At 38.8% G+C, this 24,226-nt stretch overlaps 1 protein-coding gene across 18 annotated transcripts in view, besides 1 other annotated feature; it reads right to left on the reverse strand.

Annotated features, from left to right (window-relative positions):
• Window positions 1–24,226, reverse strand: part of RAB27A (RAB27A, member RAS oncogene family) — a 116,158-nt gene that overhangs the window by 14,587 nt on the left and 77,345 nt on the right. For 10 of the 18 annotated variants that reach the window (NM_001438977.1, NM_183235.3, NM_001438974.1 and 7 more), the window contains 4 exons: window positions 17,230–17,404; window positions 12,849–12,934; window positions 11,057–11,160; window positions 6,337–6,460 (listed from right to left, as the gene is read on the reverse strand). In NM_001438977.1, coding sequence (NP_001425906.1) covers window positions 6,337–6,460; window positions 11,057–11,160; window positions 12,849–12,934; window positions 17,230–17,382 — 467 coding nt within the window. In that variant the 5' untranslated portion in view covers window positions 17,383–17,404. Of the gene's footprint in view, window positions 1–6,336; window positions 6,461–11,056; window positions 11,161–12,848; window positions 12,935–17,229; window positions 17,405–18,912; window positions 19,891–20,850; window positions 20,940–24,226 lie in introns of those variants that run through there. The other 8 variants (NM_001438970.1, NM_001438975.1, XM_047432920.1 and 5 more) reach the window with 3 other exon arrangements.
• Window positions 5,528–5,597: an enhancer, noted in NCBI's record as "active region_9439". NCBI's record gives its function as "activates an Ori minimal core promoter by ATAC-STARR-seq in GM12878 lymphoblastoid cells {active_cell/tissue: GM12878}" and the evidence as "EXISTENCE:reporter gene assay evidence [ECO:0000049][PMID:35858748]".

Here is a 24,226-nt window from a genome sequence, read left to right on the forward strand (position 1 = left end):
TACTCGGGAGGGTGAGGCAGGAGAATCGCTTGAACCTGGGAGGCAGAGGTTACAGTGAGCCAAGATCGTGTCACTGCACTCCAGCTGGGTGACAGAGCTACACTCCATCTCAAAAAAAAAAAAAAAAAAAAAAAAAAAAAAAATTCAAGAGGATGTATTGTTCCCATTTTAACCATAGAAAGAGTGCTATTGTTCCTTTTCTCCACATGGTGGTGCTAATGTAGCACCACCATGGAGCCGTATTGCCAAAGACGAAAAAATTCAGCACTGCTCATCGTTATTACCAGTCTGTAAGTGGCCACTTAAAGGCCATTTGGAGTACATGGAGACCATTAATTATAATGCATTTCCAAAAATAGATTAATCACAAATTTTAAAATAAAAAATTTAAGTAAACAGATTCAAATCAATGAGAGGGGCATAAGCATTTGCAGTTTTTCACCAAGATCTTGCTTGTGGCGTAGGTCAGCATCCTGATTTCTTTTCCATTATTTATTCTCACAAAACTAAAAGATCCTAAATCTCAGTTAGAGGTTGCCAGGAATAACAGCAAGTATGTTTGGTGGTTCTGTCAAATGGCTGTAGATATTTGGCTCACATGTAGATCTAGAAATTATGAACAAACGTCTCACTAAAGTGAGAAGTGAGTTTCACACTACTTTTCACAGTCTGTTGGATGCTAATTGAACAACATTTCCAGGAAATGGCTGGTGTGCTGACTGTTTGAACCTGGGATATTGCAGCAAATGAAATCCAGATCCTCTGCTGAGTTAAATGGAGCTCTGTGAATCAGTCTTGTATGTTTGACTTATTTGTGTACTTTTCAAACATGCCCAATGCTACATCGCTAAGTTATTTCTCAAATCAAGAAAAGATGTAATCAAGTTTTAAAAGACTAAACTATTAGAGATCAAGCTATTTGTACCGCATTTCATCTAGTTCAAACTAGAGAAAACAGTGAGCATGCTGTTGAATTAAGCTACTTGAAATCCCTGAAATGATCCATACTGATATTATTAATGTTGTAAATAAATATTTTTAATTCCTCTTTCATTCCAGAACTCTTGAGCATCTTCCTCAGCAATAACCAGCAGCCTTCAGCAGGGAGAACATCATCTTAAATTTGCTGCCCATTTCTTTGCACAGTACACAAAATATGTACATTCAGTTGTCATTCTTAGTTCACATTCTTTTTTTTTTTTTTTTTAGAGGCAGAGCCTCGCTCTTTTGCTCAGGCTGGAGTGCAATGGTGTGATCTTGGCTCACTGCAACCTCTGCCTCCTGGGTTCAAGCAATTCTCCTGCCTCAGCCTCCCAAGTAGCTGGGATTACAGGCACCCACCATCATACCCAGGTAATTTTTATATTTTTGTAGAGACGGGGTTTCACCATGTTGGCCAGGCTGGTCTCGAACTCCTGAGCTCAGGTGATCCACCCACCTCAACCTCCCAAAGTGCTGGGATTACAGGCATGAGCCACCATGCCCAGCTTTAGATCATATTCACATTTTTCTCTATTTTCCTCAACTCTGAATCAAGAACAAAGGCTTATTATGACCACCAACTATCCTCTGTGAATAAAGTATGGACAGACATTTCAACGCAACCATATTTAGTCACAGAGTGAAGCCCTTGTCTGCTCACTTGTGGTTGGTGCTCCCTCACTACCAATGCCAAGGTCCCTTCCCAGCCTATATCATAGGTGATGTAATTAACTGGGTGAGAAAAAAAATCTTCCTCTCTTTAGCATGGATTTTCCAATGAGAAGTCATTGAGCATATTTCACTCACTCATGCATGGCACAAGTAGACAATTGGTTCATATCCTGTACAAGAATGACTTTGTCCAAAGAAAATATCTGCTAGCATGCTCACCTGTCAAGCAAAATGTTTGCTAGCATGCGTCTTTGATAGGAACTCAAAGTGTTGTCTTGAACCAGCAGCAGCAACATCTAGAAACTGATCATCAGTATACATTTGTGGGCTCCAACCCAGACCTACTGAATCAGAAACTGCGGGACCCAGTGTTCAGGTGATTGATTCTGATGCACACTGAAGCTTGAGATCTAATAGTGTCTTCCAAAAGAGGAATGTTGCCAATATTTCATTCAGCTTTCTCTTCTACTTGTCACTGACTTCGTAGCTATCTTTTTAAAGTGTTTCAGTAACCATGTGAACTGTAATCACTTGGCTGGCAGGAGTGCAAATTTGAACAACTTTCTGTTTTGTTCTCTTCTCCAACTTCATTGACAATATCACTCAATATAATACATTGGAAACCATTATGTTGCATTTGTTCCAGGAAAATTCAATTGGTTTACCACAGAGATCACTTTGATTTGTTAGGAAGTGACCTAAGAGCTTCATATTACAATTTAACCAAGTTTCACAGCAAAAACAAACAAACAACAACAAAAAAAAAAACATGGAAAATTAGCGGTAGACTCTTAGGCCACTACAAATTTTTTTTCTGATATTCATTATCATGCATACAATTTGCCCTTTACATTTTTGTCTGTTGTATGAAGTCCTCATTCTCAAATTTACTTGTCCCAGCACACACAGATTAACATTCCATTTTCGCACTGTAGTGTTCTTTATTAGGCTTACAAAGTTCTTCTGAGACATGGTGTTTGATTCTTTGATATGTCTATTCCAGAGAACCAATTGTAAACCAATGATCTGGGGTTTTTTTGTTTGTTTGTTTGTTTTTGTTTGTTTGTTTGTTTTGTTTTGAGACAGAGTTTTGCTCTTGTTGCCCAGGCTGGAGTGCAATGGTGCGATCTTGGCTCACTGCAACCTCTGCCTTACCAGGGTTCAAGCGATTCTCCTGCCTCAGCCTCCCAAGTAGCTGGAATTACAGGTGCCCGCCACCACACCTGGCTAATTTTTTGTATTTTTAGTAGAGATGGGGTTTCACCATGTTGGCCAGGCTGGTCTAGAACTCCTGACCTCCGGTGATCCACCTGCCTTGGCCTCCCAAAGTGCTGGCATTGCAGGTATGAGCCACCACACCTGGCCCCAGTGATCTGTTTTTATGAATTGAGAATAGAAGACAGCATAATAGTAACAAAAAATGTAAATTTATCAAACAACATACAAATTATATGAAGATATGCCATAAACTTTATCCTGTTTTCTGACTGTTAGCACATGGATAAACTAAACAATATAGTCCTTTAGTGCATGTGTAACCAGTGTAAATGTTCTAAGAATGAAACAAAACATCTGTGAAAATAATCATTAAAGTTATATGCCATATTTGTGAAATGCATGTGAACCAAATTTTTCCATCATATTTTCCTCTAAAAGTGCCAAACAGCCTACCAAACTACATGGTATGCTTTCTGTATCCTAAGGGACTCTGTTTCTAGCCCTTTCCTTTCTTCAAGGGTTTCAATCATTATCTGCTAAATCCTCTTTTCTCATTTTAACCCAATTCAAAAACTATAGATTGAGCTCCTCTCTATGAAATACTCCATAACCATCGTGACCTGGGCACAGGTCAAAGACAGTCCCCCACACCCCTCAGATACCCCATATGACAGAAGGCAGGGTTAGGCTCTGTGAAACCAGACAGGCTGTGGAATCCTAAGACCGAGGGCACAGGAAACAAGCAAAGGGCTGAAAAAGCCCACAGGGGCAAGAAGTCAAGCCTGACCCTCCCCCAGTACTTGAGAATATACTTGAATGTGCTTGTTTGATCTAGCTAACTCCTCTAACTGCCTTTTTCTTTTTTTTCTTTGCATTTACTGACATACTCTCAAAAGAATGCTCTAGGATCCATGGTTTCCATTGCTTCATCACTTACTTCCTCCTTACCCATTGCAACATACCTCACAGCTTCAACACTACAGCATTCTCTGTGGTAATCGTTCTCTCCCTGTTTCTTTTCCACTACGTTACATGAGTGCCTCTCAGGGGAGCAGGGGGACATTTCAGACTGGCCGGTAAGACTCTGTCAGCCTCCCCCTCAGAATCACCTAAGTCACTGGTTCTCAACCATTGCACATGAAGATCACGTGGGGAGATTTTAAAAGATACCAATGCCCAGGCTTTGTAATGAGTCAGCTTGGCTAGGCTAAACAACATTTCCCAGAATGCCCTTTCTGGTTAGGGTGGGCCACAAAAGAGATTTGGGGGCAATTTTGGGGGTAGGAAGTGAAGCAACCTCCATTTCATAGCCCTCATATATTGTCGCTTATCTGCTGGCTCATCTTATTGTCATAAACCTGCAACTAGACCTGCACCTGGGCCAGGTGATGTTGTTAGCCCTGTGACAAAGGGCCCCAGTTTCTGCAGGACACCCACACCAGCCAGGTCAGAGGCAACAGGAAGTGACATGGGTTTTAGTCCCTCATTATGGGCACCAGCTGGTTCTCACTTTTTCCATCCATCCCCCATTTCACATCCTTCTCCCCTTCCTGTCTGACTGTCCTGTCCTTCAGGCTTCAGCATCAGACACAAAGACAACACCTTACAGAGACTACTTACCCAGCTCCCACAATTGCATATGCTCAAATTCCTGTAACAGATCCCTTCATGTATAGGTATGCTTCTTCAAGTGAACCCTGCCTGAGAAACTCCTCCAAACCAATTATGTCTGATGGTCAGAGGTGAAGCCCAGACATGAGAATGTGTTAAAAGTTCTCTGGATGTTTCTAACATGGTTAAACACCATCTGCCCTAGGGTAAAAACCTCTACATGCAATTGCAAATCCTTGCCAGAGTAAGCCTATAGTGGATGGGAATCCTTCAGCTGAGCTAGCCTTGAGAAAAACCTAAAATCCTGCCCTACTCTATGTGTTTTTCCTGATTTATTCTTCCTTTTCCTTTTTCACAAAGCTAGCCTCTGCCCACCTCACAGACCACTGCAATCTATCAATCTCTAGTCTTTCCTCCCTCCCCACCTATAGCCTATAGACTGATCTGGAAATGTAAACATAACATCCCTCCATGCTCAAAGGCTTTCAGCAACTCCCTGTCCTCCAGGGATCAAATCTAATCTCCTTACCTGGTATTCAAACCCCTCCAGAGTCTGGCTTCTTCCTACCTGGCCAACCTATCCTCCCCCTCCCTTCCCACTATAAACCCTACCAGCTTTCTGAACCTCCATCAACCAAAGAAAGAATAAAGCAGTGATCACACAATAAAAAGGGAAAGGTTTTCTCTTGGCCTTCTTGGATTCTGCTAACCACCAAAGCCACAAACTAGGTAACATCCCCTACACCATCTACACCATCTCTATTTCCCTCCCCTCCCTTCTCAACCCACTTGCTTCCTTCCTCTTTTAATGCTATTAAGGGTTTGAATTTACATATGGGTTCTCATTGTGTGAGAGGCAGAAAGAAAGTAAAGTAAAAATTCCTTTTAGAGGCACCCTTAACACTTTAATACTTTAATAAGCAGCAGCTGACCACTTCTTTCATGTCCAGTTCATGCTGCTGCTGCTGCTGCTGCTGCTATGATCCTATTCCCAGAACTCAAGGAGAACGACAGTATTTTGCTGACCCTCCACCACAAGACCATAGACTAAGCCAAAGGAGATCTCACACTCCTCTCCCAGAATAGAAATTTCAAAACCAGCACCTAATCTGCAATAACCAATAAGCCCTTCTTATATGCTAGCATTCTCTACAATAGTACATGAAGTGGCTTTGAAATTTCCTTGCTGAGGCTGGGTGTGGTGGCTCATACCTGTAATCCCAGCACTTTGGGAGGCTGAGGCGGGTGGGTCACAAGGTCAGGAGTTGGAGACCAGCCTGGCCAATATGGTACCAGAAACCCCATCTCTACTAAAAATACAAAAATTAGCCGGGCATGATGGTGGACTCCTGTAGTCCCAGCTACTTGGGAGGCTGAGGTAGGAGAATCGCTTGAACCCGGGAGGTGGAGGTTGCAGTGAGCCGAGATTGTGCCACTGCACTCCAGCCTGGGTGACAGTGTGAGACTCTGTCTCAAAAAAAAAAAAGAAAAGAAATGAAAAAAGAAATTTCCTCGCTCAACATGGAGGATTTCTTTACCCCAGGAGTCTCCTATTTGCATCTTGGAAAGAAGGCCTTACATACTTAAGGCGCCTCTGAGACAACTCAAAGTTGTCTCTCTGCAAATGCCAAGAGTTTGAGAAAATGGGACCAAAGCACTGAAGGAGGCCCTTGCCACATGCATTGTCAATGGATCCTACTATCATATCATATAAAAAGGACACATTCAACATGCCCCAAGGCCTATGGCTGAGGTTTTGCTTTAATTGTCCACTTTTATCTTTTTCATTACCATTCACCTGCTAATGTTTATATTGAAAATGTTTTCTCTAGACTTCTCCACAAAAATACTCACCCATATTTCTCTGCGAGTGCTATGGCTTCCTCCTCTTTCACTACTCTCTGGTCCTCCAGATCACTCTTGTTTCCACACAGCACTATATCTGGGTTTTCACAATATGCATGCATCTGTAGCTGGCCTATTAATATAAGAAAGTTTATTATATATGTAAATAATAATGTAAGTGTATGATCAGTGAACAATACATGCAAAAGTGCTTTGAAGACTATAATGTATATATAGATATTGGGAATTGACATAATGCTTTCAAAGCATCAGTAATCTTATCTGTAAAGCTGAATAGTTGGGGCAGAAATATAAAACCATTCTTAAGCACATACCCCAGTTTATTGATATCGGAGAGTTTATAGGAGAATGTGCTACCTCTCAAGTGTGAGGGCCCACATGTGCACACGCACACATATGCACACACACACATACAAAACACCTTTCTTTTTTATGAAGGCTATTTGAAAAGAAAGTTGCAGGAGTTCCTAGGGTTTACTGCTAATCTTAAAACTGTTTTTATGTGTTTTTTTCTCCATAGCAATGACATTTCTAAAAGAATTGTTTTTCTCCAAACTAATCTATTTCTATCCAAAATGTTTTTCACATTTTTCTATTATCCTAGGGCAGAATCAACTCATTTAAAACAAACAAGATACAGGCTTCAATGAGAAGAAAAGACCCAGAATAAACAGTAAGTGATTCTGTCACCAGAGCCAAGTGGAAGCAGAGGACTATAATTCTTATTCCGCAGCTTTTATTTCACCTGAAAACCTGCAAATAGGCACAATTATAAAAAGCAATTGACTCAAACCAAAGAGCTTCACTAAGCTAAATAGTTTAATCTTTCAAAGTAGGAAAATAACACCTCATTTCTTACCCATCACACCCCAGAATAAAATTAAGGCCTAAACGTTCACAGTAAGACATACTTCAGAGTTTATGGCCTAATTTATTTTTTCATCATGGTTAACCAGAAAAGTGTGGACATTTTAGTTCCTCATTATGAAGTAGTGTTCATCATATCTTATCATGAGAAAGTCAAGTAGGCAGGTGTTTACTGAGCATTAGCACAGGCCTGATACTCTGCATGGAATTTCACAACAGTTCTTTGCCCTCATGGGGCAACTGGGGTAATAAGACCTACAGAGGACAGACTAAACTGTGTACCATTTCATGAAAAGCCATGCCCTTTCTTTCCTCCAGGTTGTTACACATGCTGTTCCCACATCACTGAATACTTAACCACAACCTTCCTTCAAGACTTGCTTCATGGTTACCTCATTATCTTTCTGGTCTCCAGAGTGGCTCTGTGCTCTGTTAATGCCTTATAAGGTGTTATAGGTCCATGCCCAGTGTCATGCTATGAGCACAGACTCAGGATCCAGTGTACCTAGGGATGAATCCTGGCTCTGCCATTTACTAGCTGTGTGACCCTGATGAAGTTATTTGACTGCCTCAATTTCCCCATCTGTAAATGGTGATAATGATACTACTTACTTTATACAGTCAAGGTAAGGATTAAAATGAATTAATCCAGTGATTCTGCAGGTAAAGACTGTGAGCCACCAGCCTTAGCATAACCTAAGAATTTGTTGACATGCAAGTCTCAGGTCCCACTCCAGCTCTACTGAATCAGGAATGCTGGAAATGGGGCTAGAAATCTGTGTTTTAAAAAGTCCTCCAGGTGACTGAGATGCACATTCACATTTGAGAACTACTAAGTTAATATATTAAAGCATTTAGAAGAGCATGTAAGTATCACCAGTAATTATGGTTAACAGTATTTATTTTGGGTAGTCTAGGAAGTGTGATTATTGGTGATTTCTTCTTTTTGTCTCATTTTTCCTAATTTTTCTACTAAGATTGTGCTTATCTAAAAAGCAAATTAATCAGTTATTTTAAAAACTTCACTAAGAAAAAAGTCACCTACATAAACAACTACAGTCTGATAATGGATGTAATAAGGACCCTATACACAGTATAAAATGTAACAGGGGTTAAAAGGAGGGAAAACATCTAACACAACTAAGTTTATTACAGAGAATCTCACAGAGGCCATCTTTGCTAGGTTTTAAAGAATAAGCAGAACTCCAGTTGGTTAAAAAATGGGGGCAGGTGTGGAAAGGGTTTTTCAGACAGAGAGAATAATGGGAATAAAAAATAAAGAAGTAAAAATATGTAAAATATATACTGTTGGGTTTTTGCACCACTTATGGGACTCTACAGAAGAAAGTTTAGAAATGTAGGCTACTTTAAAGTTTCCTTAGGAAACACACTAGCACTGGATGAAGAGTGACTCTGGGCATGACGTGCTTACTCCTCTGAACTCCAGGAAGACAGGACAGTGACTACCACACTACCAAATTCCTTTCAGATTTCAATCCAGGCCCAGAGGACTCAGCCTCTGTTCTGTCTCCTCATCTGAGTGGGGCTTACTTTAGACTTTTATCACCCTTCTCAAGAGGGCATGGAGAGATTGAGTGAGAGGGAGGGGTCTGCAAGGAGCAAAGGGAAAGGGGAGGGTATATAGACCTGCTCTCCTCTCCCAGGCCAATCAGGGCCCACGAGTCAGCTACTTCTTTAATGCAACACTGTGTTCTGGCACTCACCACTGATTTTTATGTATTTGTGTGTGTGTGTGTGTGTGTGTGTGAGTGTGTATTTGTGTGTATTAAGCTATTATTTTTATTAAAAAATAAGAAATGGGCCGGGCACTGTGGCTCACGCCTGTAATCCCAGCACTTTGGGAGGCTGAGGCGCGTGGATCACCTGAGGTCAGGAGTTGGATGAAACCCCGGGAGATGGGTGAAACCCCATCTCTACAAAAATACAAAAATTAGCTGGGGGTGTTGGTGTGCGCCTGTAATCCCAGCTACTCGGGAGGCTGAGGCAGGAGAATTGCTTGAACCCAGGAGGCAGAGGTTGCAGTGAGCCGAGACTGCACCATTGCACTCCAGCAAGGGCAACAAGAGTAGAAACTCCATCTCAAAAAAAAAAAAAAAAGATAAGAAATGAATGATCATTGTAATACTCAAAAGGCTGACAGGAAGAAGAAAAAAATAAAAGTACAGATAATTAACAAATGTTTATTCCTAATTAAGATTTGATATTACCACTTCTGACACTGAACATTACACCTTTTTGTTTAAATGGTAGGGGGTGGAGAATACTTTCTATTAAATATATAAAATCTTCAATACGTATAAGTGTTCTTTACCTAACTGAGCAATAAGGATTCTTTTACTCTCTAAGGAAAACAAAACAAAATACATACATATGTATACATATTTTCACATAATTTTGTTCTTTATCCAACTAGTTAGCCAGGATAGGCAATATTTATCTAATGTCTCAGAGTTTTAGTGTCTACCTATGAAAAACAGGTGCGTTATTTTTTGATGCTAAGATTCTATGCGCACTCTCTAGTGATCCTTATAAAATAGTTGATTTTAAAAAGCCCCAGAACTTGTTCTGATGATGCAAAGGAGGGATGATGAACACGGGCTGAGAGTAAGAGACCATAAACAGCCACTGTCATTCAGCTACAAGGGAAATAATGAGGCAACTTAGCCAGGCATCTAGCGAAGTGAAGCCCCAGTAAGCATTACTATATTTGGGGAACTCATATTTAAAGTAATTAATAGCTCTTCAACTCTTAGTGGCCAACTGACTTGAGAACGGGCAAAAAAAAGGCCATTAAAAAGGAAAGCCAAAGCTTCATATCCTTGGATAAGTCTATTACTTTTTAAGGCTCAATGTCCTTCTCCTGAAATAAGGACACAACACTGACCCGAATCTTTGCCCAGGGTGATTGTGAGGATCAGATACAAAGTATGTGAAAACCACAGTGCACTAAATTATTTTTAAACTCATTTTTAATCTAAGCTTTTCTACTATCAAAACTACAGCCAATTACCCTTTCATAATCCCAAAACAGTAATGTTTAAGTAGCAGATCTTTTTAAATCAGTGTTTTAAAGATTTAGATGTTAAGAATTTAATATTACAGCCTTCCCTAATAGATTCTCTAGGGTTACACTAACATGACCAAACAGGGAAAATATACATTTGAAAGCTGTTATGCAGTCAAGTGGCAGAATTCGAAATGGCTATGAACCAATCATTTAGGAGGTTAAAATCTCTCCAAAATAAAGGTTGACATATATTGCACTGGTGACCACTTTTACCAATGCAGTTGTAGAGTTTTCCATGGCAGAATCCTCCTGAAAGATGCTCTAACCCTAAAAGCTAGAAGGGGACTCTAAGCACAGAAAAGACATGAAGCCAGGGGTATGATCCATTAAGTCTTTAAAAGCTATCTGCATCTATGTAATACCCATTTAATGTCCAGAGATGATAGAAGAATTGATAGCATACAATAGACAAGCAGATACTTAGAGATTTAACTTCTCTAGGCTTCTACTTCCTCATCTACGAAATGGGAATAAGAGTCTCTTCTGTGGGATAGACTGAAGAGGAGAGCACACATAAAGTGCTGCCTTGCACCTGGAGCACAGGAAGTACTCAACAAATCAAAGTTATCAGTACCAGGGAGAAGCAGAGTATTTCAATTATCTTTGTCCCTAAACTAAAAACCTTGCTCCTTAAAATAGTATTTGCACTAAGATCTCCTCCAAAACGATTTGTCACAGAAGTAGAGCATAAGAGGGCATTCTATAAATAAGAGGGGACTGTGTAGCAGGACACTGGGGAACAATAACACTTACTTATCCAGTTTCTGACATTGAGGAAACTTTGCTCATTTGTCAGATCAAAAAGTAGAAGAAAACCCATAGCATCTCTGAAGAACGCTGTCGTTAAGCTACGAAACCTAGGAACATAAAAGCAGAATGGTCAGTTAAACCACGGCCCCACTCCTGAAATATAAAACTACAAGCAATGCCTTCAGCCTCTTACAAAAGTTTACCAATAACAAGCTACATGGTGATATTTCAAAAGTATATAGGATAGTTATTTATCACTTATATCAGTTTAAGTGTTAACAGACCATGTGATTTGAAAACCGAGGCTGCTGGAGAGGGATGACAAGAACCAGCTTGTGATCTTAGTCTCACCCAAGAATTTATGTACAATTATGAGTTAATTTGGCCAAAAGCAATATAGTGTATGTTTTCCTATTGTGAAAGCTTGACTTGACATTACAATGTGTTCCATGATCTTTTAATTTCAGAATATGCAGAGATCTCTTATCTCTGATAGCCATTTGTTTGGCTTGAAGGTAAGAATCTCTTGACTCAGACCTTATTCTGTCTTGGTACTCTGCCTTCCAAGGCTTTATCCTTCTGTCTTCCCTGTCTTCTCTCTCTCTCTCCCCACCCCCAACCCCACCCTATCACCAGTCAGTTTCCTCTCGTCTTTGCCTATATGTAAAACCTGTAACTGACAGGCAGGCTCCAGGGAAGAAAATATTGGTATGAATTTGTCATCTAATCAGCAATATTAGGTTTTTCTCAAATACTTTTAATCAATGTTTTTATTAAAAAGAGTTCTTGGCCAGGGGCCATGGCTCACACCTGTAATCCCAGCACTTTGGGAGGTCAAGGCAGGCAGATCACCTGAAGTCAGGAGTTAGAGACCAGCCTGACCAACATGGAGAAACCCCAACTCTACTAAAAATACAAAATTAGCTGTGTGTAGTGGTGCACATCTGTAATCCCAGCTAATCGGGAGGCTGAGGCAGGAGAATCACTTGAACCAGCAAGGTAGAGGTTGCGGTGAGCTGAGATCACGTCAGCCTGGGCAACAAGAATGAAACTCCGCCCAAAAAAAAAACAAAAAAGAGCTCTTATCTTTTAGAGCTACATTACCACAAGTATTAAAAATGAAATAATATAGTGTCTGGAATTTGCTTCTAAATTATATGGTAAGGGGGTGGGGTGAGAAGAGGTAAGGGGTATAAATGAAATTCTGTTGGCCACAATTTCATAATTGTTGAAGCTGAGTAATGGGTACATAGGTTTATCATATAATCCTTCCACTTTTGAATATCCTTGAAGTTTTCCATAATAAAAAGTTAAAAAACAAAATCCTTCAAGGTGGCTGTGAAAGAAAACAGAAGTTCTAGCTAACTGAAAGCAACTTTATATCAAGATTTCATGTGGCTTATTTTGGTCAAGTAACCCCTGGTCACATGAATTAATTCCAACCAGATATCCCACTAGATTTCAACAGTCAGGTAAGAATAATGCATGTAACTTGGCCACTTTCTTGTGGTTGAGTAAATAGCAAAAGGAAATGGAGCAAAGTATCTAAGCAAAAAAAAATTAAAAGAAGGAAAAGAAAAAAGTCCACAAGTAAGAGTCATAACCTCTCCCTTGACCTTGTATGAAATAAGGCCACCATTCTCATCTCAGACTTGACAAATTTCCTGCTAATTTGGCAGCATTCAAGTGCAAACCAACGAATTGGCTGGCTTTTTCCTGCTCAGGTCACTGTTTGAAGAATGTAACTATTTTTCCCTTTCCTTCAGTAAGGAGCACATAACTGAAGATCTCATACCTCTCCTGCCCTGCTGTGTCCCATAACTGCAGGTGGATTCTCTGGCCTCTGCCAGTGGCTCCATCCGGCCCACTGGCTCTGTACACCTAAAACAGCAAAGTGAAAGAGAAAACAAAAGAGAACTTCTAACACCAGCGAACCTTCTCACCTTTTTGTTCAGTACAAATCCCAAAGGCATCTAAAATTCCAAAGAGAATGCCATCTGGAATACAACCATGTTTGTATTTATGTCAAATAATTATATCCAGGTAATGTAATAAGTTATATTGAAATATATACATATATATCTTATAAATATATTGTAAAATATGAATACAAAACAACTTGTATAAAATATAATAATTAGTTTACCTTTCCTCAAAGTTCTCTTGGGTCACTAGTTTCAGGAAATATTACTTTTCTATGGCTTTTCCCAATCTCATCTTTTTTGTTTGTTTAACCAGGGGGTACATGTGCAGGCTTGTTACGTAGATAGATTGCATAATGCTGGGGTTTGAGCATCTATTGAATTCATCACCCAAACAGTGAATGTAGTACCCAATAAGTAGTTTTTCAGCCCCTCTCCCACTCCCTTCCCCCTTTTGGAGTCCCTAGTGTCTACTGTTTCTGTCTTTATGTCCATGCGTACCCATTGTTTAGTTCCCACTTATAAGTGAGAATGCATGTGGCATTTGATTTTCTGTTTCTGCATTAATTCACTGAGGATAATGGTCCCCAGCTCTATCCATGTTGCTGCAAAAGACATAATTTCACTTTTTTATGGCTGCATAGTATTCTATGATGTATATGTACCACATTTTCTCTATCCAATCCACCACTGATAAGCACCTAGGGTTAGTTCCATGACTTTGCTATTGTGAATAGTGCTGCAATAAACATTTGAGTGCAGATGTATTTTTGGTAGAACAATTTTCCCTTGTCCCATCCCAAATTTTAAAAGTGCTCTTAAAAGAATTTTATAGACAACACTCCTAGAACAGCAGAGAACGGACCATCAAAAATTTCTTCCTCCACAATAGCAACAAAAACAGTGGTAAAAATTGTCCAAATCAACTTTTTCAGTACTCTAGGAATTAACAAAGACTTGCAACATTCCAAGGAGCATTTATTCAAGAAAAACAGCCGAATATCAGTAAAAACAGTAAGCTTTGAGGTGTTTTTTACCTTGCCCTATTCCCATCCCCCTCACTCAAGCTTTTAGAAGACTTAAAAACCATGTGCACAAATGTGGTTGTTGTGAAAACATCAGCCTAGCCACCACTGTGGACAGCAGAGGAACAACAGGTTTGGAGCTCCCTAAAAGTCCCATACTGAGAAAAATTGTCAGGAAGCCCCTTGGAAAGCTCCATGCCCCAGCTTTGTCTTTCTTTGACCTCACTCAAAGCTTGCTCTTTGAGAACAGCCCTATCCCAAGGGCATTTGTTGAAAACTATCAGCAGTAATTATTTAACATCACAGCTACCAGAGGTAGCAATACCAGTTAGGGCTAACAAAAGTCTAACAACAACAACAAAAAAAAAATTTAAAGAAAAAAATAGGAAATGAGATTTCTATAATGCTCCCAAATATTCCTTGGAACCTAAAAGGCCATGTTCATGGGCAGGGCTCTACAAATGCCCAGGAAAGATCTAAAAAGGTCCTAATCTCTCACTTCTGACTGACTTTGAGGTTCTTCTCAGGCAGAAAATAAAAGCTAAGGCAGAGTTGTAAACTGCCTGCAGTAGTATTAAACACATACCCCAACAAACACACAGAGACTCTCAGAAAAAGCTAAGAGACTTATTAGTTCAAGGAATTTAATAAACTCTCTCCACTCATTAGCTGTCCACTAAGTTGACTGAGCAGAGACTTCAGTAGCTGCATACAAAGAATACAGATTTTGCAGAATTATCCCAGAAACATAATTAAACAAACAGCAACGACAAAAATAAATAAATATGCAGTAAAAACAAGAAACCCAGGTAGGGGAAAGAATCTGAGTTTCTAGAATAGACACATTATTTTAAATGTCCAGTTTTCAGCAAAACGTATAAGACACACAAAGAAACAGGAAAGTATGGCTCATGCGCAGGAAAAAAACAACGAATAGAAATTATTCCTGAGGAGGCCCAGATGTTAAACTTATTAGACAAAGACTTTACATCAGGAATTATAAATATATTCAAAGAACTTAAAAATCAGTAACATAGCGGTCCTCTAAAATTAAAGGATAAATTAAGACAAAACTGAGAAAAGTCATCTCTAGCAGACCTATCCTACAAGAAATACTACAGACAACTCTCAAGACTAAGCTGAAAGGAAACTAGACAGTAACTTAAATCCACACAAAGAAATAATAAGCACCAGTAAAAATGTAACTGCATAGTAAATATAAAAAACAGTATAAACGTGGTTTTTCTTTGTAGCCCTTTTCCTCCACTAGATTAAAATTTAACTGCAGGCTGGGAGTGATAGCTCATGCCTGTAATCCCTCAGCACTTTGGGAGGCTAAGATGGGTGGATCACTTGAGGCCAGGAGTTCGAGACCAGCCTGGCCAACATGGCAAAACCCCATTACTACTAAAAATATAAACAATTAGCCGGGTGTGGTGGCGGGTGCCTGTAATCCTAGCTACTTGGGAGACTGAGGCAGGAGAATCACTTGAACCTGGGAGACAGAGGTTGCGGTGAGCTGAGATCTCACCACTGCACTCCAGTCTGAGCAACAGAGAGAGACCCTGTCTCAAAAAGAAAAAAGAAAAAAAAATTAACTGCATACAGCAATAATTGTAAAGCTGTATTGATGATGGCACACAATGTAGAAAGATGTCATTCGTATAGCAATAATGGCACAAAAATATGGGAGAAAACAGAGCCACATAAGAGCAAAGTTTTACACAGTATTAAAATTAAGTTGCTATTAATCAAAATTAGATTGTGAAAAATTAAGATAATTGTAATCCCCAAGGGAATTTTTAAAAAAGAACTCAAAAACATATAACAAAAAAGGGAATTAAAATGATGCACTAGAAAATAGAAAAAGAAACAACAGTATCTATCAACAGACAAATGGATAAACAAAATGGTGTATCAATACAATAGAATATTATGTAGCTATAATAAGTAATGAAGTCCTGATACATGCTACAACATGGAAGATCCTTGAAAACATCAGGCTGAATGTAAGAAGCCAGACACAAAAGGCCATATATTATTCCATTTATATGGTGTGTGCAGAAGCCATTGATAGAAAATTCATGGTGGCTAAGGGGAGGTAGAAAGAGGAATGCCTGCTAATAGGTATGAGGTTTCTTTTTAAAGTGATGAAACTATTCTAAAATTGAATGGCTGTGATGGCCACACAACTCCGAATATATTAAAAACCACCGAATTTTATACTTTAGATGGATGGATTTCCTTTTTTTGTGAATTATATCTCAACAAATCTATTTTTTAAGTTATACAATAAGTAACCAACAAAAATAATCACATACATATATGTAGATTCTATCAACTACACGTCAATACTAAAAATTTCATTAGGGCCCTACTGTTATTCAGTGGGTCTTAATCTCTATAAGCCTCTCTGGTAGTAGAATAAAATACTAGAATGGGCAAAAGGGAATGTTCTTCTGTCTTAAAAGCCAGGGACCTTTCCCCCTGACAGAATATGATCCATTAAAGGACCTTTGTCATTAATTTCCTGACAACTGGTTTACCTGCTTCAGGCCAACAATGGATTTTTCAACAAGAAATGTAGTCTAAGGAGAAAGCCATCTTTCCTCATCTGCAACTGTGACACCATGACCTTCTGCCTTCCCCTCCAACACTAGAATAACTTTCAGTCTCAAAGTCCTTAAAAAATAAATAAATAAAAGTTTCTCCCTTCAACATTCTGCAGAACATCACATTCACTACTGGCATTCCCCACTCCTACTCCAACCTCACCCTCCTGGCAGCAGTGATAAGTTCTGCCAGTTAGTGTTCCATGTGGAACTGCTGAGACTTTATTAGGAGAAATGCCATTAAAAATAATAAGATACCAAAGGTGGAAGACACAGCCCATAAAACAAGAGTATGAGGGGCAAGGTGGTTGGCAGGCTTCAAGACAAAGGTAGACAAATAACTTTCGGAGTTCAGAGGGAAGATACAAGCCAAAAGAGTACCAAGGTGACATTTTAAAGAACTGTCCACTTCCACTTTGTCTGCCTGGTTTTATATGAAGTGCTGTCAGCACAGCCTTTTCAATCATGTTGCCTGGATTGAACATAACTCACTTTCATATGTACCTTTAATTTCAGATCCCAACCTTTGTCCTCCTAATTCCTACAAAGTAAACTAAACAGACCAGCAAATGTTGACTTAACGATTACATTTTTACATAGAAGGATATAGAACTTACCACTCTTTTTTCCCTGAAATCAATGCCCACTGTTGTGATAAATTTGGAGTTAAATTTACCATCTGTATATTGGTAAAGTACACTGGTCTTCCCTACACCAGAGTCTCCCAAAGCTAAAAACTTGATGAGGTAATCATAATCTCCATCAGACATAATGAAGAACTCAGTAGTTCACCTGTAAAATACACACAAAATTTTTTAATTAAAATCCATTAGAAAACATTAATTATCCATTTAAAAAGTGACAACAATATTCAGTTTAACACCTAATGTTAACCTGTATGTCTACGGGTTGTATGAAAAGAGAGTTACATACATATTGTTCACCATCCTTGAAGACCTAATAACTAGCTAGATGAGAAGCTATTGAAATAGTAATTAACAGTGTAGTTTTAATTTAACACACAGGTAATCCCAGCACTTTGGGAGGCCAAGGTGGGCAGATCACCTAAGGTTGGGAATTCGAGACCAGCCTGACCAACATGGAGAAACCCCATCTCTACTGAAAATACAAAAATTAGCCAGGCATGGTGGTGCATGCCTATAATCCCAGCTACTCAGGAGGCTGAGGCAGGAGAATCACTTGAACCTGGGAGGTGGAGGTTGCAGTGAGCCAAGATTGCGCCATTGCACTCCAGCCTGGGCAACAAGAGCAAAACTCTGTCTCAAAATAAAAAAATAAATAAAAATAAAAATAAAAATAAAAACATACATATTATAGTACCATTAGGACAAAAATTTCAAGTGGGAATGATAATCAACAAGAAGGTAACAGTCACTAAGTCTTATCTGTAGACCATATAGAACAAAAACTAATACAAGAAAAACAGAGGAAAGAGAATGTTATAAGGAATAACAGTAATCATTAGAGTGCAAGTGGTTCCAATTTCCCCTCCTTTTTCAAAGTCTCCTAGTGCTAAAATTTGCAATTGCAAACATAAGGAACCAGTCCAAATGCTCACCAGTCAATGAGTAGATAAAGAAATTGTGGTACACCACAATTTTTTTATCTGTATATATATACACACACCACGGAATACTACTCAGCCACAAAAAGGAACGAAATAATGGCATTCACAGCAATCTGGATGGAATTGAAGACAATTATTCTAAGTGAAGTAAGTCAGGAATGGAAAACCAAACATCATATGTTCTCACTCATATGTAGGAGTGAAGCTATGAGGAAGCAAAGGCATAAGAATGATACAATGGACTTTGGGGACTCGGGTGGAAAGGGTGGGAGGCGGGTGAGGGATAAAAGACTACAGATTGAATACAGTGTACACTGCTTGGGTGATGGGTGCACCAAAATCTCAGAAATCACCACTAAAGAACTTATCCATGTAACTAAACACCACCTGTTCCCCAAAAACCTATGGAAATAAAAAAAAAAGAAAGAAAGAAAGTCTCCTAGTGCTAGAACCTTGCCTTTTCTCTCTTTTTACATGGACATCTAGGCAATTTCATTTATTCTATTCATTTTCACATGTTATTACGGTTCCTTCAAAGACACTGTTATTTCACAAGTAAATTTAGTCCCTGCTTCCTTACATATTACTATTAATATGTACTACATATTAAGCCAGACTTCTCTAGAGTATCACTGCTCACTTGGGAACTGAGTTCCAGATTTGAACAGTCACTGCTCAGAGACCACAGTGCCACAACCAAGGGCTCGCTTACCTATGTTTACCTGGGTACTCTATCAAGAACTGCTAAAAATTCAGCTCTTCAGTACCGACTAAAACAAAAGTCCACCTTAAAGAAGAAAAATTCATTTATATCAGCAATACCTAACCACGGCTATTTTTGGTTCTTTGCAATCAGCACTTTTCATGATTTGTATTTACCTTCTAAATAGATTCAAACCCAAAATATCAGTCCAACTAGAAATGGGATCTCTCTCCAGGGGAGGTTTACTTTTTCATTAAAATTTTATTGATACATAATATTTGTATATTTTTATGGGGTACATGTAATATTTTGTTACATGCATAGAATGTAATGATCACATGAAGGTATTTAGGGTATTTATTTCCTCGAGTATTTATCATTTCTATGCATTGAGAACATTTCAAGTCCTCTCTTCTAGCTATTTTAAAATACACAATACATTTTTGTTAACTATAGTCACCCTAGTCTACTGTTGAACATTAGAACTTATTCTTTCCATCTAACCATATGCTTGTACACATTAACCAACCTCTCTCCGTTTCCCCCGCCAATGCCAATAAACTCTCCTGAAAATCATAAAAACAACTAGCTATCTCATTAACACTGACGACTCTACATGACTATTCAAACATACATATTTATCCATCTATACACATGCCAGATGTCCTACATTGGATGCTACTGACTCCCGGCGTTATCCCCTTTTTACCCAGCACCATATCCAGAAACTTGGCTGCCATATTCAGTGCTTCCTGTAGGACTATTTCTATATATCCATAAAATTAATAAAAACTCAGACAAGAATATTTACTGGTTTTCAGTGTTACCTCCCTCACCCCATCCTCAACTTGGGGACTCACCTTATGCTGAAAACTCCTGAATGCTGAGCCCCAAAAGCCACTGCAGTGTGTTTCCTCAGAGTGCTTCAGTGCAGATCTGCAACCTCACGTTTCAGGTATGGCTAGCCCGTGGATAAGGGCAGAGCCTCTACAAACATTCAAAATTCTATTTGCACACTATAAAGAGTGACACTTCACAGATGATGCCTTACCTGTCTTTATAGCTTGGATATTTGCAAGTATAGGTCACCAGTATTAATGACATATAACAGAATTCCTCTCCAAAAAACGACAACTTGGACATCAACATTATAGCACGTCATATCACAGCATCACACCTGGCTCTAAGTTATTGGAAATAAGAGCTAAGAATTGAAAAGCAAGTCCAGATAATGTTGACTCATTTGAGGGCTTCCCCTCAAACTGAATGGAGCAGCAGATAACAATACCGATCCTGCAGTGAGAATGATGCAAGAAGACACTGTGACTACCTTATTTCCTATTTATTTTTAATTTGAAAAAAAAGTTGGTATAACTATGTTTTTTACATCACTTAGGGTACAGGAAAAAATGCTGTCACCAATGGCATCATATTCTAGAATTCTCTAAACTCACTTAAGTGGAATTCAAAGACTTAAATGAAACTATCTCTAATGTGTTTCATTTCCATGGGTAATCACACATGTAAGTCTACAAATGATCTTCGTGAGTTTTGTTTTCTATTCACAATAGCAATACTGACCAAGTAATCATAAAGGGACTGTTAACAAACCAAATACCATAAATTGAAGGTATAGACACCACCATCAATATTAATCATAGTTTGCACTTTTCAGATTGTATCTTTAAGACAATTATCTGCTTTCTTGATCTGAAAATAAATGTTCAGACCTTCCACTCTCTGGGTTCAGTTTTCTAAAGGGTAAAACAGAACCCAGAGAGGTAGACTGATTTGCACGATCTAGAATCTAGATCTCCTAGCTCCAAGTCCAATGCCTATTCTACCCCAAGCTTCATATCCATTATTCATTTTTGTTATAAATGCACATTGGGCTTTAAAGTGACCAGTAGTATGGTATCTTACAAGGTAACCTAATAGGAAACTCACCAAGTCAAGCAGAGCTGGGTTTGAATCCCAAATCTCCCAGATACCAATTACTTGGATGTCTTTGAGCCTTAGATTTCCAGGTTTCTGTTCTATAAAAAAGAATATACACTACCTCACACCATTATTCTGAGGATTCAATGAGATACTGTTTATGGAGTGCCCAGCACAATGGTTGGCATATACTGGGTACTTAACTGTTGGCTCACTTTATTCTCCCCATTGTGGACGTTCAGACTGGGTCTGAAGATCTAGAACAAATTTCAGATTGACTCTGGCCAGCTTAAAACATGTCTTTCTAGCACAAACGATTGCTAACTGGCTCAAAGTGGTCGGCTGAGTCAACAAAGATCACTTTCAAATAATTCTGATCCTTTTTGGCTGGTTCTAACCATTTGCAATTCATTTAATACAGATATGTTTACTTCAAAAGAGTTCTGATCAACTTAAAAAGAGGTTCAAATCCATATAAAATACACCATCCATTTTAGCAAGTTCATAGTTGTTCAAAAGAATCTGGTTCATATTATTTTACGGTGAGTTAAAAGAGGTTCTCCTACAAAACTTTCTGACTTTGGCTAAAACCTGATATATCTAACCAAAATTATTGGAGTCTCATTGTAATTAGCTTTAATTGCTTCAGACTGGTTTTAGCTAGTTCCAATAGGCTCTGACTTGGACATGCAGGTTCTGACAGGCTTCTAAAAGTTTTAGTTGGTTCTGAGTATATTTTACTAAATCAAACTGTGCTGACAAATTAAATCCACTTTCAATTGAGTCACACTGGTTCTACCTCTATCGAACTGCTGGAAACTAGTTTGATAACTATAGTTATCTGTAAAATTGTTTTTACTGGTTTAGACCAATATAGACTGGTTCAAAACAGTCTGAAATGTTTCAAATTAATTTCAGATGTTCAAACAGTTCAAAACTAGAAATGTAAAATGACAATCAGAAGCAACAAAAACAACAGTTTGGTGTTTAAAACTTGTGCCAAACCAACAAACTTAAAATTTTATTTTTAAATTACCTCATTTGTAGATATTCTGTATCCAAAAATTTATCTCCACCATTATATACTGTATAATCACACTCGAACAGCATGTATGTGTTCGAGTACAGTAAAGGATTGGGAGAAAGGAGCACTGGCATAGGAGAAGATGACAGATAACAGGGAAATATGTGATGAGTGACACAGGCTTCCTGGGTTGAGAATTCACCTCCCATTTTACCTGAAAGACCTGGCAGCAAAATATTCACCCATGACCCAACAATGAAGATTCTGATTGGGGAAAACCTTTAGCAAATTTGGAGGCTGTCTAGAGTTTGTTCAAAACTGATCACGCTGACCAGGCTGGTCTGGGTTAAAAGAGACCAGAATTCCAAAGAATAAGAAAATTTCAGAGAAATAAAGGGAGTTGGGGGCAGGCAGGTTTTCAAAATAACAGATCTTTCAAGGTTTGGGCATGGTGTTGAGGGCGACAGCCTTCTTATCTGAGCTTGCAGTCCAGTTAGTGAAAGCCTGGAGTTAGTGGAATTACCCCATCTTTCAGCAGAAAATCATTCTAGTCTATACCAGACTATACTCCCACCTCCATCCTGCAAGTCCATACGTGGCTTTCTCATCACTACTTATCACTACTAGGTGAAGACAATTTAATGTTAAGTCTCAATTGATGGTATATTTTCATATAAACAATTTTTGTTCTCTTATTTATTATTCAAGTCCTGAGTAGTATTCCTAGGGCCTGTTTTCCAGAAAGAAAATACTCCACTCCTCAAATACAGAAATCTAATAACGTAAATGATTTTTGTGTTGGCATTTCATTTCAGGAAGGAGTAAACAGTGAGAACACACAGTACCAGAATTTGACATTTGGGGCACCCAAACAACGTTGTATGCTCACCATTTCCTGCTTGTACTCCAGCCTACTGAGGTTTGGGAAGCCAGTTCACAAGGGCTTCCCTCTGACACTCTCTTGCTGAAAATGGGTCTGAAACCTAGGTCAGATGCCCACATGTCAAGCACTTTACACACATTAGCACAACAATCCTCATCACTGCCCTATACATAGCATATACACTGTCTCCCTCAGAAAGATCTAGAGCTGTTCTATCGTAAGTGCTTCAGTGAGGGCATAAGTAACTGAGTCTTGGCCAGTCTACCCACATATTAGCATGGGCACAATTCCAATCTATTGTTGAGAGACAGGAAAAAAAAATGGAGGTTAAAGGCAGAAACTCTACAACCAAGCCACCTGTATTTGAGTCCAGTCATGTAACTTTGGAAAATTTATTTAGTCTCTTTTGCCTTGGGCTCCTCACCTGTAAAACAGGAAGAGATTCTATTTTATCAATTCTAACATGCTTTCTTATTTTAACTTCTTTAAAATTGGGGTGCATCTTACATTTCAGTCTTACAATCCAAGACATCTTGCAATTGCTATTATTGCAATTGCAATAGAGATACAACTGTGTGAAAGCTTTTTGTTAGCATCTTCTAGCAAGGTCAAGAATGCATCATCAATATATTTTAGACTCAATGAAGCACAATAATAAAGCTATTTCTGAGGGCTGTTGTGAGGACTGAGCTAGTGTATACACACAAAGTTTGGAACAGTGCACAGGACATAGTAAGTTCTATGTAAGTATTAGCTGTTATTAGCAGCAGCATCCAGCAATCTGGCTTCCAAGGGTCAATATGCAGGCAATGTTCTTTTCTTTCCTAGAAGTATAAGAAAGTACATTGAGCCCCTAAACCAAAAATTAATTTTTAAAAATAAGGATCTGCTAAGAGTATTTGAAGCCAAGGTTATATATTTAAACTCTGTACTGCCTTGAGAAAAGTGCTGTCTACCTCAAGGAAATATCTTCTAAAAAGTCAAGAATGACCTTAATTTGGGATATGCAAAAGACTTTCTTATTCAGCTCACTTCTCTCTCTCCTCCTTATACAAATATTTTTTCAAAGTGCTCTCCACCCTCACTATCATCAGATTAACAATAGAAAGCAAGGAACACCCATTTCCTCAACATGTACTATGTGGTGTTAATTGCCTGGTGAGAGAAAGTCTATCATCTTCCTTATTTTTAAAATAAAACATATTTTCACCTGTAATACCAGTGACTGAGGAGGCTGAGGCAGAAGGATGGCTTGACGTCAGGAGTTCAAGACTAGCCCAGGCAACTAGCAAGACCTATTTATATATATATATATATATATATATGTGTGTATATATATTTGTTTTTTTTTTTATAAATTAGGCAGGTGTGGTGGCATTAGCCTGTAGTCCTAGCTACTTGGGAGGCTGAGGCAGGAGGATTGCTTAAGCCCAGGAGTTCAAGGCTGCAGTAAGATATGCTCACATCACTACATTGTA

Source organism: Homo sapiens, chromosome 15, assembly GCF_000001405.40.
Source record: "Homo sapiens chromosome 15, GRCh38.p14 Primary Assembly".
In the NCBI taxonomy this organism is placed as follows: Eukaryota; Metazoa; Chordata; class Mammalia; order Primates; family Hominidae; genus Homo; species Homo sapiens.